The sequence below is a fragment of the Homo sapiens genome, chromosome 12, assembly GCF_000001405.40.
Source record: "Homo sapiens chromosome 12, GRCh38.p14 Primary Assembly".
NCBI lineage: Eukaryota > Metazoa > Chordata > Mammalia > Primates > Hominidae > Homo > Homo sapiens.
Genome location: NC_000012.12, coordinates 93,724,971 through 93,739,597, shown reverse-complemented (window position 1 = coordinate 93,739,597; position 14,627 = coordinate 93,724,971). Strand labels below are relative to the sequence as shown.

The 14,627-nt window shown below is 39.6% G+C and overlaps 1 protein-coding gene and 1 long non-coding RNA gene across 11 annotated transcripts in view; one reads left to right on the top strand and one right to left on the bottom strand.

Annotated features, from left to right (window-relative positions):
- Nucleotides 1-14,627, bottom strand: part of CRADD (CARD and death domain containing adaptor protein) — a 217,466-nt gene that overhangs the window by 155,243 nt on the left and 47,596 nt on the right. For 2 of the 9 annotated variants that reach the window (XM_024449252.2, NM_001330126.1), the window contains one exon: nucleotides 962-1,398. The exons of 6 other annotated variants lie outside the window; for them this stretch is intronic. In XM_024449252.2, coding sequence (XP_024305020.1) covers nucleotides 1,304-1,398 — 95 coding nt within the window. In that variant the 3' untranslated portion in view covers nucleotides 962-1,303. Of the gene's footprint in view, nucleotides 1-961; nucleotides 1,399-14,627 lie in introns of those variants that run through there. One more of the 9 variants, NM_001320101.3, reaches the window with a different exon arrangement.
- The window catches only part of CRADD-AS1 (CRADD antisense RNA 1), a 30,033-nt gene continuing 17,180 nt past the window's right edge, over nucleotides 1,775-14,627 (top strand). For both annotated transcript variants that reach the window (NR_110092.1, NR_110093.1), the window contains exons 1-2: nucleotides 1,775-1,899; nucleotides 3,865-4,033. This is a non-coding gene — a long non-coding RNA (CRADD antisense RNA 1). The remainder of the gene's footprint in view (nucleotides 1,900-3,864; nucleotides 4,034-14,627) is intronic.

Here is a 14,627-nt window from a genome sequence, read left to right as displayed (position 1 = left end):
AAAATAATAGAAACCACTAACTGTAGGAGACAGCCTTGATGCTTTTGATTATATTTTCCTAGAAAGATTTTTATGATATTTAATCTTAATAGCTTTTTTTTTTTAGGAACTCCTCTAATGCCAATAAATGAGAATCTAAATCTCAGGAGTTTAGGCAAATTTAGCCCATCAGCATAGCCTAAAAACAGGATAATTTAATAAAACCTAAATAATACATTAGTTTTTAAATAATATGTTATATACTTTAGATATATATATATATATCCTGTTAAGATTAGTGGGTACCAACCTCATATCTGTATTGGAAATAAGCAGGGTGCAGATTTTTAAAAGGAAAAGAGGCTACACTACTACTCAAAGTCTCCTCAACATTTGGATGCAGGAGAGAAATGGAAAGAAAGTCGAGTTCATCAGGGCTGGTGCCCATCCCATGGCACTACACTTCCTCCTATCCCCTGACCACTGCCAAGTTTGGTCAGGATAGGTGGCTTCGTGTCTCTACATAGTCAGATACCTGTGTATTTTGCTGGGAGAAGGGGAAAAAAAATAAACAAATAAAAATAAAACTCTCTATTCCCAAACTCCCTGCATCCTTTCAAAGTCACATTTTATTAATGGAAATTAAAATGATGAAGAAAGAAACCATTAGTAACCTAAATGATAAGTTTCCCCTTAAAGACACATTTTAACACCAACAAGAGGACTTTCTTCTTTCACTTTCTTCCTTCCTTCCTTTCCTCGTTTCTCTCTCTCCCTCTCTTTCCTTCTTTCTTTCTCCTTCCCTCTCTCTCTTCTCTTTTTCTTTCTAGTCAGAGTTTGTGACTTACTAATTATTTTTATTCTGTTTGAATAGGGTCCCTGTTATCTTTTGTGATTTTCTGAAATGAAGTTAAGATTTCCATTATTTATGAGAATAAAACAGGAGGTTGACACTTTACGCACAAAAAAGAATAACCAAAGGTTACAATGACATCAGTTTTAGTTTTTATTAAGGGCTGGCGTGTGGTGCAGGGGGTGGCGGTGGGAGCGGGGTGAGGCAGGTGTGAGGAATGAGTTTGTTTCTTCCAAGAGAAGGATTTGCTTTGGTCAGTGTTGCTGCAGTCCCAGTGAAGGGGCCTACTCTGCCAGCTCTTCTGGGTAGACTTCATAACAGAGTGGGCAGGCTCAATTCTCTAGGAAGCCTGATGATGGCAACTGCATCTCATGGAAGAATTCCACAAAGGGTTAAATTAGGGTGAGATTGTCAACAGGCTTCAAAAAGGCAGAGTTCCAGGGCCCATGCCTGAGGTCTCATGGGCCTCCTTCAGGTCCTCATCCCCACAGTCTGACACTTTTGGCCCTTCTCTTCTCCAGCTCCCCACCCCATTCTTCGGCCAGTCCTTCCTTTTTCCTCTAACCCTGCAAAAAATGAGCAGCGCTGTTGTTTTGTTCCAACTGACAAAACAGCTAAGAAACAGCAGAACATGACTGCCCTTTGCAAAATGGGCCATGTGATCCTCCTAGCTCAATTCAACACTTACAGTAAAAACGAATAGAAAGGGACCTGTTTATGAAACTCTCCTGCTTGCCTTTGGAATACTCTCATCCTCTCCCTTCTCAGCCTCCTAAATACCCAAGTGAATTTATATAATGAGCTTTATTTTATCACCCTGAAATTCTTCCTCAGTCCAAATTGCTAATGTGGCAGGTTCCAGCTGCCCAAATTCCCTAAACAACATTGCCTGTTCCATAAAAAGCATGCAATTACAAGCACAGCAGTCCTGCTCTGGTTCTTAGAACTATAAACTGACTACACAGCTCCCTGGCCCGGGAAGGCTATGAAACAGGCAACATGGACAATTTAAAGGTGTACAACATCCGAGGTTCCATTTCACCCTCAGGCAGCACGGAGTGGACAAGGTAAGGCCACCCTCCACTTTTCTTCTGGCTACTATATTGATTCTCTGGAAACTCTCTCTGCTCCAAAAGAAACCACCCAATCCCATGGAGAAAAGGTGACACTGAATTTGCACTGCTTTTTATGGTTGCATTTGTTTGACTAAGAGGGAGCAGAGTTCCATACAACAGACTGCTTTAGTTGGGTGACTTGAAAATAACACATACCAGATTAGTTCTCCAGATGCAGATTAGTACTAAGTTTGAATCCTTTCTTTTAAATTAATTAATGTAATCTCAATGTTTACATAATAGACATTGACTTTTATCTGGCACATACAGTATATGACTCTGCCTTTAGCAAAAATACCATTCAAGCTATCTTTAGCAGATGTGAATGTTTTATTTTTATTTTGGGGACTCCAAAGAGAGTCCATAACCTACCTTGGCATTGTCAGATCTCAAAAAAAGCTTTCTTCATACTTGCAATATAGTAATATCTAAGTACTTGGACATCTCTGCACAAAATATATGGGTCCACATCTCCCTGTTTTTCCATATACTATTCCCTCTGCAACCTTGTTCACATAGCAAACTCTAATTTATTCTTCAATAGGCAGCCTATGCCACCTTCCCTCAACTATCCCAGACCAGTAGTCATCACTGCCTCCTCTACCCCTTGTACATTTCTCTATGTGGTCTCACCAGAGAAGTACTATGTTTGCTCATATGTCTGGTCTCACCAGACAGTACCATGTTTGCTCAACTCAAAGTTCCTTGAGGAAATAATTGTATTTGTATCTCCAGTGCCTTGCATATTTTGTATCACATAATGAGTTCTATAAAAGAGAACTAAACTGATGTGGCTATGAAATGATTTACAGCTTTTAACTGGAATGAGCCTAGTACAAGACTCACTTAGATGCTGGTGGTTGATCCTAAGTTTCTCATGCTGTTATCTGCAATCATTTGCTCTTGCTCTACATTCAGAAGAGAAAGAAAAACTGGTGACACTAATCTGGCCTCTATATCATAATTAGACCAGGGGTAGGATCTGAGAAACTAGAAAATATTTAGCCTACCCCTAGTCACATCCTAAAAGACATCAATGTGGAACTCAAGGAACTCAGTGGATTTACCAACATTTATCATACCCTATATCCACCCATTATAACTACTTGAATTGTCATGGATGGGAACAGAAGATAGATTTTATTGTGGAGAACAGAATAAATCTAATAAAAGAAATAACTAGAGGAAAAGTTGGGGCTAGTTGACGTTTTTAAGTAGAGATGGGAAAAACATAAATGATGGTGGTCAGCACAGAAAGTTTTGAATATAAGGACTTTAGAAATCAATGTGGTCACTCTTTTCTAGTAATAGGCTGACCATGGACAAAAATAATAGGAACATTATTCCCTAGTTCCTTTGCAATGTACTGTACTGTTATTTAAGCATCCCAGCATCATGCTTGCTTTGATAAATACAAATCTAGCTCAATTGCCATGATTCTGCTTTGAGGCTCTCTCTTTTTTAATGATTTATATGTCATGCTCCCCAAAAGTCTTTCTAAAATTATACCAAAGGGAAAGAAGCAAAAAAAGGGGAGCTTAAATGTTCTGAGGAGCTGTTAGATGTGCCTGGTGCTTGCTATGCACTTCTTTTTGAGACAGAGTCTCCCTCTATTGCCCAGGCTGGAGTGCAGTGGCGTGATCTCAGCTCACTGCAACCTCCGCCTCCAGGGTTCAAGGGATCATCCCACCTCGGCCTCCTACTAGATGGAAATACAGGCCTGAGCCACCACAACCAGCTTGCTATGCACTTTATATACACCATCTATATGTATACCACCCTCCCAACAACTCCACTTGGTAGGAATAATTATTCTCATTTTAAATCAGTTTTAACCTAGGTGTCTCTGGTTCTAGATCTAGTATTTTTTCTACAAATAATACGGTTCCAATTTCTTTCTTTTCTTTCTTTTTGTAGAGATGGGGTCTCACTTTGTCACCCAGGCTGGGCTCAAACTCTTGGCTTCAAGCGATCTTCTCGCCTTGGTCTCCCAAAGTGCTGGGATTACAGGCTTGAACTACTGTACTCGACTGACTTTTCCTATTTCTAATGTCAGCATGAAGAACACAAGAAGTCAGCTTCAAAGGTAAGAGGTGTATCATTCATTCATTCAACATTTATTCCACAGCTACGATGAACCAGGCACTATAGTCTCTTTGAGGATATAAACATAAATAAGTTCTGGGACTCGACTTCAGCTTGCTCACAGTCTAATGGAAAAGAGACATAAAAACAACTTGGTTTATTCTATTTTCCCTAGGCTCTGTATTTGGATCCCCACACCTTGTCACTTTTTGCTGCCACTTTACAAACTTTCCATATCTTAAGAGTTACTCTATCTTTATTTACACATTAGTAAAACACAAGAAACCTGCCCCATTTCGTAAGCTGCCTACACTGCTAAAATCACATCCTAGAGGGAAGTGAGATGGAACAAACCATAAGCATTTGAACTCGCTTGTGCCGCTCTGGGTTTCCATGCTGCCAGGGTGTTTGTTCATTCATTTATTTGCATATTTTGGAGGGCCTACAGGAGGCCCAGTGCTAGCCAGGGAAACAGCGGTGAAAATGACATAACTAGTGTTCTGCCCCCATGGAGCTTACCCTCTAACCTTTACAGGAAGGGGAGGCAGACAGTCAACAAAATCCTGGATTGTGATAGGTGAGTCATTAAGGAAAATCACAGGGTGCTATGAGAAAGCACATATGGTACAGGGACCTAACCTTGGCAGGGGGATGAGGAAGGCCTCCCCTAGGAAGTGGCATGAAAGCTGAGATCTGTGAGTTGAGTGGGATTAGCTTGGTGAAGATAGGGGGAAGACGGACAAGGAGGGAAACAGAGAAGAGGATTCCAAGCTGAGGGAACAGTGCATACAAAGGGCTGAAGCTGGAAAGAACACAATACCTCTGAGGTCAGGAAAGAAGGCTAGCATTTGCAGAAGACAGGCAATACGAGGGACGGGGTCCGGAGACAGAGCTGGGAAGGAAGCACTGGCCTGATGATGCAGTGGTGTTCTGGATTTCAAATCTCATTCTAAGAGCAGCGGGAACATATTGAAAGGTTAAAGCAGCTCAGTTGAGTGCACTTAATGTTCTTTAAAATTCCCTTGGCTACCTATGATTGAAGTATTGAGAAAAACACAGTGTGAAAACATGTTTCATTAATGAAAAACTTGTTTAGAATACAAAAGTGGTATAGATAAAAGAGTTCTAAATAAAAAATAATGGGTTTTATTCATAGCATTATTATCCCAAGTAAGTCATTTAATCTCAAAATATTTTTGTTTCCTCATCTAGCAAATGAAAATACTAAAAAATTCAAAATTCACATACTTGTTTTAAAAAGCAAATGAAATAATACATTTGAAAATGCTTTGAATCTCTAAAATGTAAGCTCCTTGAGGGAAGGGACTTTGACTATTTTACTACTATACCTAGGACCTAGAAGATGGATGGACGGATGGATGGATGGATGGACGGATGGATGGGATGGATGGACAGATGGATGGACTGATGAACAGACGGATGGCTGGATAAAAGAAAGTGAGGGAGGAAGACAAGAAGGGAAAAAAAGAAAGGAAGGGAAGGAGGGAGGAAGGGAAAAAAGGATGGACAGGCCAGGCAGGTGGCTCACGCCTGTAATCCGAGCACCTTGGGAGGCTGAGGTAGACAGATGGCCTGAGCCCAGGAGTTTGAGACCAGCCTGGGCAACATGGCAAAACCCTGTCTCCTCAAAAAATATAAAAATTTAGCAGGGTGTGGTAGCGCATGCCTGTAGTAACAGCTTCTCAGAAGGCTGTGGTGTAGGATCGATTGAGCCTAGGAGATTGAGGCTGCAGTGGGCCTTGATCACCACTGCAGTCTAGCCTGGGTGACAGAGTGAGATGCTGCCTCAAAAAAAAAAAAAAACAAAGGATGGATGAATGGATGAATGAATCACATCAAGCACCATATTGTGCAAATATGAAGCAAGACATACAGCATGTGGCAGTCCACCTGAGCAGGCAGCCTCCCCAGGAACTCAATGTCACAGCATCACCAATGCTTGCCAAGCAGCCAGGCCTTCCTTCAGTGCTGGCACACTGGGCACCTCCAGCAGCTATTCCAGACGGCTGGGTGATGGGGGCAAGCACAGCATCAGAGGCCCATGACATCACCTCTTCAGTGTGGCTGGTGAGAGGGGCGATTGTGAGAAATGAAACACTGCCTTTTCCTGCTTCTTCTTCCTCATACACTAGTCTCTGACACGCACCCCAAAGCCAAGCCCTAAGTACACATCCTTCTCCACTCATATAATCCCTACCTACAGATTCTTATTCTTTGTTTACCAAATGTAGTATTAGAATACATTTTTATATAACTTATTAACACTTTTCTTATACTGCACAGTCTTAGCTATGTGTACCCAATTTCTTAAAGAATTACAACTAAAGATAAAAAAGAGAAGAGGAAAAATATTAAAAGCCTTAACATGTTCTTTGATATTTATTAGCTTTATAACAATAATGATAGTAACCATTCATTGAATACTGACTTTCCTCCAGGCATAGAGTTTGACACTTAGCCTATATCACTTCAAATCCTTACAACCCCTAAAAAGGTCAGCATTATGACTCCATTTCTTGGGGAAGAAAATTGAGGCACAGAGCAGAATGATTTGCCCAAGGTTAGGAGGTTGTTAAGGGCAGAACCAGTGTTCAAATCTGGGTCTATTAGACAAGACAGTGTGCATTCTTTCCATTACACTACATATTATTATGAAAATCTTCTAAAAGAAATTGGACTACTTATGAAAAAAGAGCAACCACTTACTGAACATTTAATCTGCCAGGCAGTTATGCTCTTTACAAAAATTATGTCATTTAATCCTCTCAACAACTCTGTCAGGTCTGTACTTTTGAAATGAAGAAACTAAAGCTTAGAGAGACTAGAGTGACTTGCCAAAGCTCAAAAAACGACTAAGTGGTAGAGCCTGGATTTTAACCCAGGTCTGTCTGACTCTAAAATGCACCCTCTTAACTGCTACACAAGAGTTCCACTATTCAAATATCATCAGTATAACTTGTATGCCTTCAAAGGAGAATGTCAAAACAGAAGAACAGGGTCAAAAAACCATTTTAAAGATAATTCAAAATAACTACTGCATTAAGACACCATCTCTAAGAGCCCATTACTAACCATTTTCTCTGAGATGTTGCCTTGTTCTGTTGTCCCAAATGGCCTTTAGAACGATCTGCAACCAGTGTTTTCAATACAAGTGTTTTCCTTTTACATTTGGTAAGTAATTTAAAAATCTGTTTCTAAAACTACCAGTTCAACCAAATGGAGCTCATAACTCTGCGCCCAAATCTTTAGAGACACTGAAAATGCACACTAAAGTTACTTAGTCCACAATTCTTATTAAATAATGTTCTTTGATGGTCAGGATAATGTTCAAAGTCACTGTGCAAATTGCTCATGTCATATAAAATACTAGATTTCACTGTTTCTTTCTTTCTTTTTTTTTTTTTTCTTGAGACGGAATTTCACTCTTGTCGCCCAGGCTGGAGTGCAATGGTGCCATCTCGGCTCACCGCAACCTCCACCTCCTGCGTTCAAGCGATTCTCCTGCCTCAGCCTCCCAAGTAGCTGGGATTACAGGCACCCATCACCATGCCTGGCTAATTTTATATTTTTAGTAGAGATGGAGTTTCTCCATGTTGGTCAATCTGGTCTCGAACTCCCGACCTCAGGTGATCTGCCTGCCTCAGCCTCCCAAAGTGCTGGGATTACAGGCGTGAGCCACCACACTCGGCCAGATTTCACTGTTTCATAATAAATTTTGAAGATTATATCAAGCATTTTAAAATACACCCAACATGATTGTCTCCCTATCAGAAATAATTCTTTTCTAAACCAGAAGAATCCTCAGGTAGGTCTCCTTAGCTATACTCGTTAAGCTATATGGCTATATTTGTTAAGCAAACATAGCTATATTTGTTAAGCCAACTTTTTAAAACCTCATTTGTAATTAAGAAGGTGTTCGCCTTCTTGATCTACTGATTGGGCAAAGAGGACTTCCTTGTATCTATGGAGAAGGATACATAACTTTCACACTGATTGGATATGTAAACCAAGTCGCTGGCAAACTATTACTTTAAACACAGTCATTGAAATAGAAGCCTGGCAATTCTTGGACTAACATGTGGGAAATAATGTATGTGTGAGCACATGCCTGTGCCAACTTTCAAAAAGTAAAATATAAGTACAGGAAGTACCTACATACTCCCTAACAAAAGCAAAGTAAATATACAGATCTGGATGAACATCCCCAAATTCTGTGCTTAATCTTCAAGTTGAGATGTTCTATCAGTCTGAGAAAATTATAGTATATATTTTTAAATACTTTTTTCAACTGGAGTCTATGTATAGAGCAAAAATAAACCAATAAATACTGCAGAAAAATATGAAGAAAAAAATAAAACACTAATAATTATACCACTGTCAATACTGTGTTTCACAGCCTCCCCAGACTTTTTTCTTGGCATATGTGTATATGACTTGGAGTTTTTCAAATATAAAGTTGCACCACAAAACTGTTTTGCAACATGCTTTGTTTTATTTTATTTTTCCATCCAATAGCAAATGAGGGTCAGCCGGGTGCAGTGGCTCACACCTATAATCCCAGCACTTTGGGAGGCCAAGGCAGGCAGATCAGTTGAGAGGTCAGGAGTTGGAGACCAGCCTGGCCAACATGGTGAAACCCCGTCTCTACTAAAAATATAAAAATTAGCCAGATGTGGTGGCATGTGCCTGTAATTCCAGCTACTTGGGAGGCTGAGGTGGGAGAATAGCTTGAACCCGGGAGGTGGAGGTTGCAGTGAGCCGAGATTGTGCCACTGCACTCCAGCCAGAGTGACAGGGCAAAGCTCCATTAAAAAAAAAAAAAAAAAAGTAAATGAAGGTCAATGTTTAAATAATAAATATAGCTCTACATCTTCAATTCTCTCATAACTCATTTAACCCATCTTTCACTGATGGACAAGTTTCTTTCAACATTTTGCTTTTATAAACAATACTGAAATGAACACTGTTTACATATAAGCACTTATCAAATTAGTCCTTTCAGACAAATTCTTAGAAGTAGAAAGACTGTATCAAAGAATGTAGCTTTCAATACATATTGCCAAAGTGCCTTCCAGAAAAATCATGCCAGTTGACACTACCAGCAGCAATATATGAGAGTGCAGGCTTCACACTCTGATCTTCCCTGGCTATGAATATTCCTTTTCAATTGTTGCCAATCTAATAGGCAAAACAAATGGTAACTTCTGGTTGCTTTCACTGAATTTTCTTTTTATACAAATACTGATATATAGGAGCAGTAGGTCCGTGTTATACTGAAGAGCAAGAATTTCAGAGGCAGACAGCCCTGGGCTGCAACAGTTTTGCTAAATGTGTGATCTAGGACAAGCTGCTTTAGCTCCCTAAATTGGACTGTCCTCATTGCACAATGTAAATAATTGCACCTGTCTCATAGTATTTTCTTAAGCAAGATATGATACTAGCCCAGTGCTTGGCAGACAATAAACAGTAAATGGTACCTGCTAGTAGTAGTGATAGTGATATAGTAGTAGTAAAGAATTCAGCGGCCATTTGTATTTCTTCTCTTGCAAATTACCTTTTCATATCTTTGGTCTGATTTTGTCGTGGAGAATGCATCTCTTATTTATTAACCTGTAAGAGCTCTTTATAAACTATGGGCAATAACCCTTTGGCCACTATATATATAGCCAACATTTTCTCCACATTGACATTAGTTTTTAATATTATGGTGTTCTTTGTAATTTTTGCTTAGTAATCTAAGATTTTTTTTTTTTTTTTTTGAGACGGAGTCTCTCTCTTGTTGCCCAGGCTGAAGTGCACTGGCGCAATCTCGGCTCACTGCAATCTCTGCCTCCCAGGTTCAAGCAATTCTCCTGCCTCAGCCTCCCGAGTAGCTGGGATTTCAGACATGCACCACCACGCCAGGGTAATTCTGTATTTTTAGTAGAGATGGGGTTTCTCCATGTTGGTCAGGCTGGTCTCAAACTCCAACCTCAGGTGATCTGCCCGCCTTGGCCTCCCAAAGTGCTGCAATTACAGGCATGAGCCACCGTGGCTGGCTGTAAGATCTCTTTTTAAAATTTATTTAGTTTCTGCTATTGGTATCATGCTTACAAAGATCTCTGCTACCACAAGATTATAAATAAAGATTAAGTATATATTTTGTGCTTTTATAGATTCTTTAGTTTTTTAACATAAAATCTTTAAACATAAACAATATTGCTATTAAGTAGGAATTTAACTTTATCCTTTTCTTCCTCTAAATGACTAGTATGTAATCCCAATGCCTTTTACAAATCTCATCACTGACTTGATGTGCCACCCTGGCATTAAAGAGTTGATAATTCCTAACCTGAAATTCTGAAATCATAAAGCTCTGAAAACAGAGTCTTTTGTTTTTTGCGGTTTGGTGCTTAAATTCATTTGGTGGCAAAACTTGACCTGAGCTAATGTGAGGCTATTTCTGGTCTTTATCATCCCATTTAGTGTCCGTATTAATCTGTTCTGCTGTGGAAATTTACATGAATTTGATTATGAGATACTGCTAAAAACCCTAAATTTTGAAATATAACTGGCCCCAAACATTTCAGATAAAGGACTGTGAACCTGTACTAGGTTTCCATGTATACTCAAGCCTGCTTCTAGACTTCCTGTTGTAGCTATGCTCTTATTTTCTCTTTTATTTCAATAAATGCAATAAATTACATTGATTTTCAAATGCTAAACCCTTGTATTTCCAGGATAAATCCCATTTGGTAATGATATATTATCCTTTTTCTGTTTTGCTGGATTCCATTTGTTAATATATTGTTGATGATTTTTGCATCTATGCTTAAGGCTATAACTTTTTCTTGTAGTGCCTTTGTCAAGTTTTGGTATCCAGATTATACTGGCTTCCAATTTCTTAGTTTGTCTACCATTTTGTTTATATTTACTATATTTTATGTTTTAATACTTGATGAGATAAAATTTTCCCCTCTTTTTCATTCTTCACTAGTCTCAGGCAATGTTTTTCTGAACTTTACCGTATTTTATCAAATTTCATAGAATAAAAATAACATTACAGCTTATGCTGGAACTGTATTAAATTTTAGGTTAATATGGACAAAAAGTGATATTGACGTATTTACTACATTGACTCGTTTCACCAATGAACATGTTTCTCTATTTATTCAAGTGTTCTTTTATGTGCCTTAGTTAAGTTTGGAAGAGTTCTTCATAAAGGTCTTGCCCAATTTCTGTTAAGTTTATTCCTATGTATTTTATAATCACTCTGATAATTTCAACTCTATTCATGCCTGTGCTACCATATTTCATTAGTTCTGATTATCAATTATAGATAGCTGCTGTAATTGTTTCCATGCTGCTATAATTGTTTCCGTGGAAGGGTAGAATGCCTTGTGGAAGAAAGGAGCCAAACGTGACTGTTTCATTTATTTAACAAACATGTATTGAACACGTAATATGTACCCAGCACTGAGAATTCAAAGAGTGATAAGACAATATCCCTGTCCTCAAGGGTTCACAGTCCAGGGGGCAGATAAACAAGTTGCATATAGTAACACGCAAGTTCTGTGTTAGAGGAGAGTACAGGAGAAAAACACAGTCTACCTCCAGGAGTAGAGAGTATTGTCAGGAAAAACTTCTATAGAGCTGACTCTTGGGGTGGGTCCCAGTTTCCCCCTTGAACAGGTGTGGTGATGAGGAGGCACATCCAGAAACTGCATTAAGTCCTTCAGACTTAAGAACGTCATCAATACAGTGCTGAGTGCACCCTGCCTTCCATGTCACAGCATGGCAGCAAATCCCTTTGGCTTGCTGGCCTCTCCATGGCTCAGCTCTCCTGGCTGCCTGTCACTGAACTGGGCACTGAGCACTGTGGGTCACCGAGCCACATTTCCCTTACATGCCTCTGCTCATATAACTTCAGGAAAAGGACATCAGTGTCCAGCTGAGTTACTACAGCTTCAGTTGCTAACTGGCCTGGCTCTAGATTCCTTAAAGCCCATAAAGTGCTATCACTTATTACTTCACAGGGACATCATGTTCTGGGAGAAAATCGTTCTATTTCATGCCTAAAATGGTAACAAAGCAAGTGAAAGCTGATCTGCTGTGTGTCTCCTGGATAGTGACAGGTTCTGGTACCCAAATAAGCAGACCTAATGAAGCTCAGAGATTCCCAGCTTGGATGAACTATTTACTCCTCATGAGCTCAATATTAACTGTGGAGTCATCTTGCAACTACAGAGCCCTTTGCAGAGTGACCACAGGAAGCCAGGCATGGAGGAAGAAGGCGACAATAAGCAGTCACTTGTGTTATTACTGAAGAGACCACAGGGATCTGTCCAATTATTCAAATGCACATCTGGAAAAAATTCACCTGTCTTGAACTCTTGTTTGTTCAACAGCAAAACAAGCAAAAGCACCACAAAATGCTCAATCAGGGCGATCTTTTCAATTGTGGAGTCTGAACGTTTTCCCACCTGAGCATCATAAATAAGGCAAATTGCATAATAGGATAATAATAGTTGTTGCTGAAAGATGCAATCATAAAATAAAAGGACCTTTCGAAATCTGAGTATAGATGGTAATTATCCAGGAATGGAATACAAAGAGGAGCAATTTCAAGGTTCCTGCTTCGTCTTGTTATCGTGAAACTGAGACGGCCAAATGCCAAAGAGGGCTCTTTCAGTTACAAGAGACCTTCCAATGTCTTTGACAACAGTGCTATTCCCTTCTGTTAGAGTGCTGTAGTACACCATCTTGTATATCCGTCTAATCTCAAATGCCACAATTCACAAAGTTGCCACTTGTTCTTTCCTGCTACCAAAACCAGAATTCTAGCTGGTAAGCTCCACAGCAGAAAAAAAAAATGAGGAAAAAAGTAATAAATTGTGGTTCTTTATACTTCAGTGTTATTATTGTATTTATAAATAAATACAATGTATGTATGTATATATCTGAATAAGATCCTTTCCTGATAAAGAGATGTACCCCTCCAAGTAGAGTACTAGTAAAGCTTCCTTCTCTAATGTAAAAAGCAAGACCTGAGATAAATAAAATAGGTAAATGTAAAAATACATTTATGGCCCCAAATAAATACATGCTCTCAAATAAACAGACCTAACAAAGTTGAGGGAGTCATTAAAAAACTAAACTATTGGCCAGGTGCTGGGGCTTATGCCTATAATCCCAGCACTTTGGGAGGCCAAGGCAGGTGGATCACCTGAGGTCAGGAGTTCGAGGCCAGCCTGGCCCATATGGTGAAACTCCATCTCTAATCAAAATACAAAAATTAGCTGGGCATGGTGGTGGGTGCCTGTAATCCCAGCTACTTGGCAGGCTGAGACAGGAGAATCGCTTGAACCTGGGAGGCGAAGGTTGCAGAAAGTCGAGATTGCACCATTGCACTCAGCCAGGGTGACAAAAGTGAAACTCCATCTCAAGAAAAAAAAAAAAAAAAAAAAAAAACTAAACTATTTACTCTTCACCAGTTCATGAACATTAATTAGCCACAGAAACAATTAGAGCCACAGACTTTGCAAGCATTCAGGTTAATTCAGTAGAAGAATAATAGGTCTTGAAGTCAGCCCTGGGTTTGAATACAGCCCCACGATGTACTAGCTTTGAGACCTTGGAAAAGTTCATGTGTCTGAGCTTCCTTATCTGCAAAATGGGGAAAATACCTACATTACAGGCAGGGAGTTTTGAGGATTAAGAGAGAAAGGTATATATAAACCCCAACAATGAATGGGACAAACAGGCACTCTATACACACCTACTTTCCTATTCAAATTCTCTACATGCTAAATGGTAAAATAAATCTCCCCAGCTTCTCAACCTACAATAGACCCTTACTGTTTAATATAGCAAATGCTTTCCATTAACAGTGCACCAAATTTTGCATTACAATACTCCACAAGTCAAATTCTCTGCTTCAGCAAAATCTGAATCTCTTATATATTCCCAGCTTTTTATTTTCATGCTCTTACAAATATCATCACACACCACCACCAGCAGCATTTCCCAAAGTAGTTCACAAAGGAATTGGGGTAAGAGGAGTAGGGCAGGATTGGGTGGAATGAGGGCCTTTCAAGTCAATAAAGACAGTAATGGCATTTGGTTCAATTTCTACTTTTTAAAAACATTTTTTTCTTCAAAACAGGACAGTGTGAGAACATGCAACTGTATATCTAGGGAGTATATGCAGTAGTTGGTGACAACTGGGCAACAGAACTCAGCTAAACACTGCTACTAGTCATGGTGGTTTAAAATTGCTTTATTCTTAAGACATATATTGTTCCACTGATACCCATACTGGACCACTGGTAAAAAGGAAAAGCAAAGGGAATATTGTGAGTGAAAGATAATTAACAGGGGGATGAACATAAAAAATAATAAGTCTGGGCCGGGCGTGGTGGCTCACGCCTGTAATCCCAGCACTTTGGGAGGCCAAGGCAGGCGAATCACGAGGTCAGGAGATCGAGACCATCCTGGCTAACACGATGAAACCCCGCCTCTACTAAAAATACAAAAAATTAGCCAAGCGTGGTGGCGGGTGCCTGAAGTCCCAGCTACTTGCGAGGCTGAGGCAG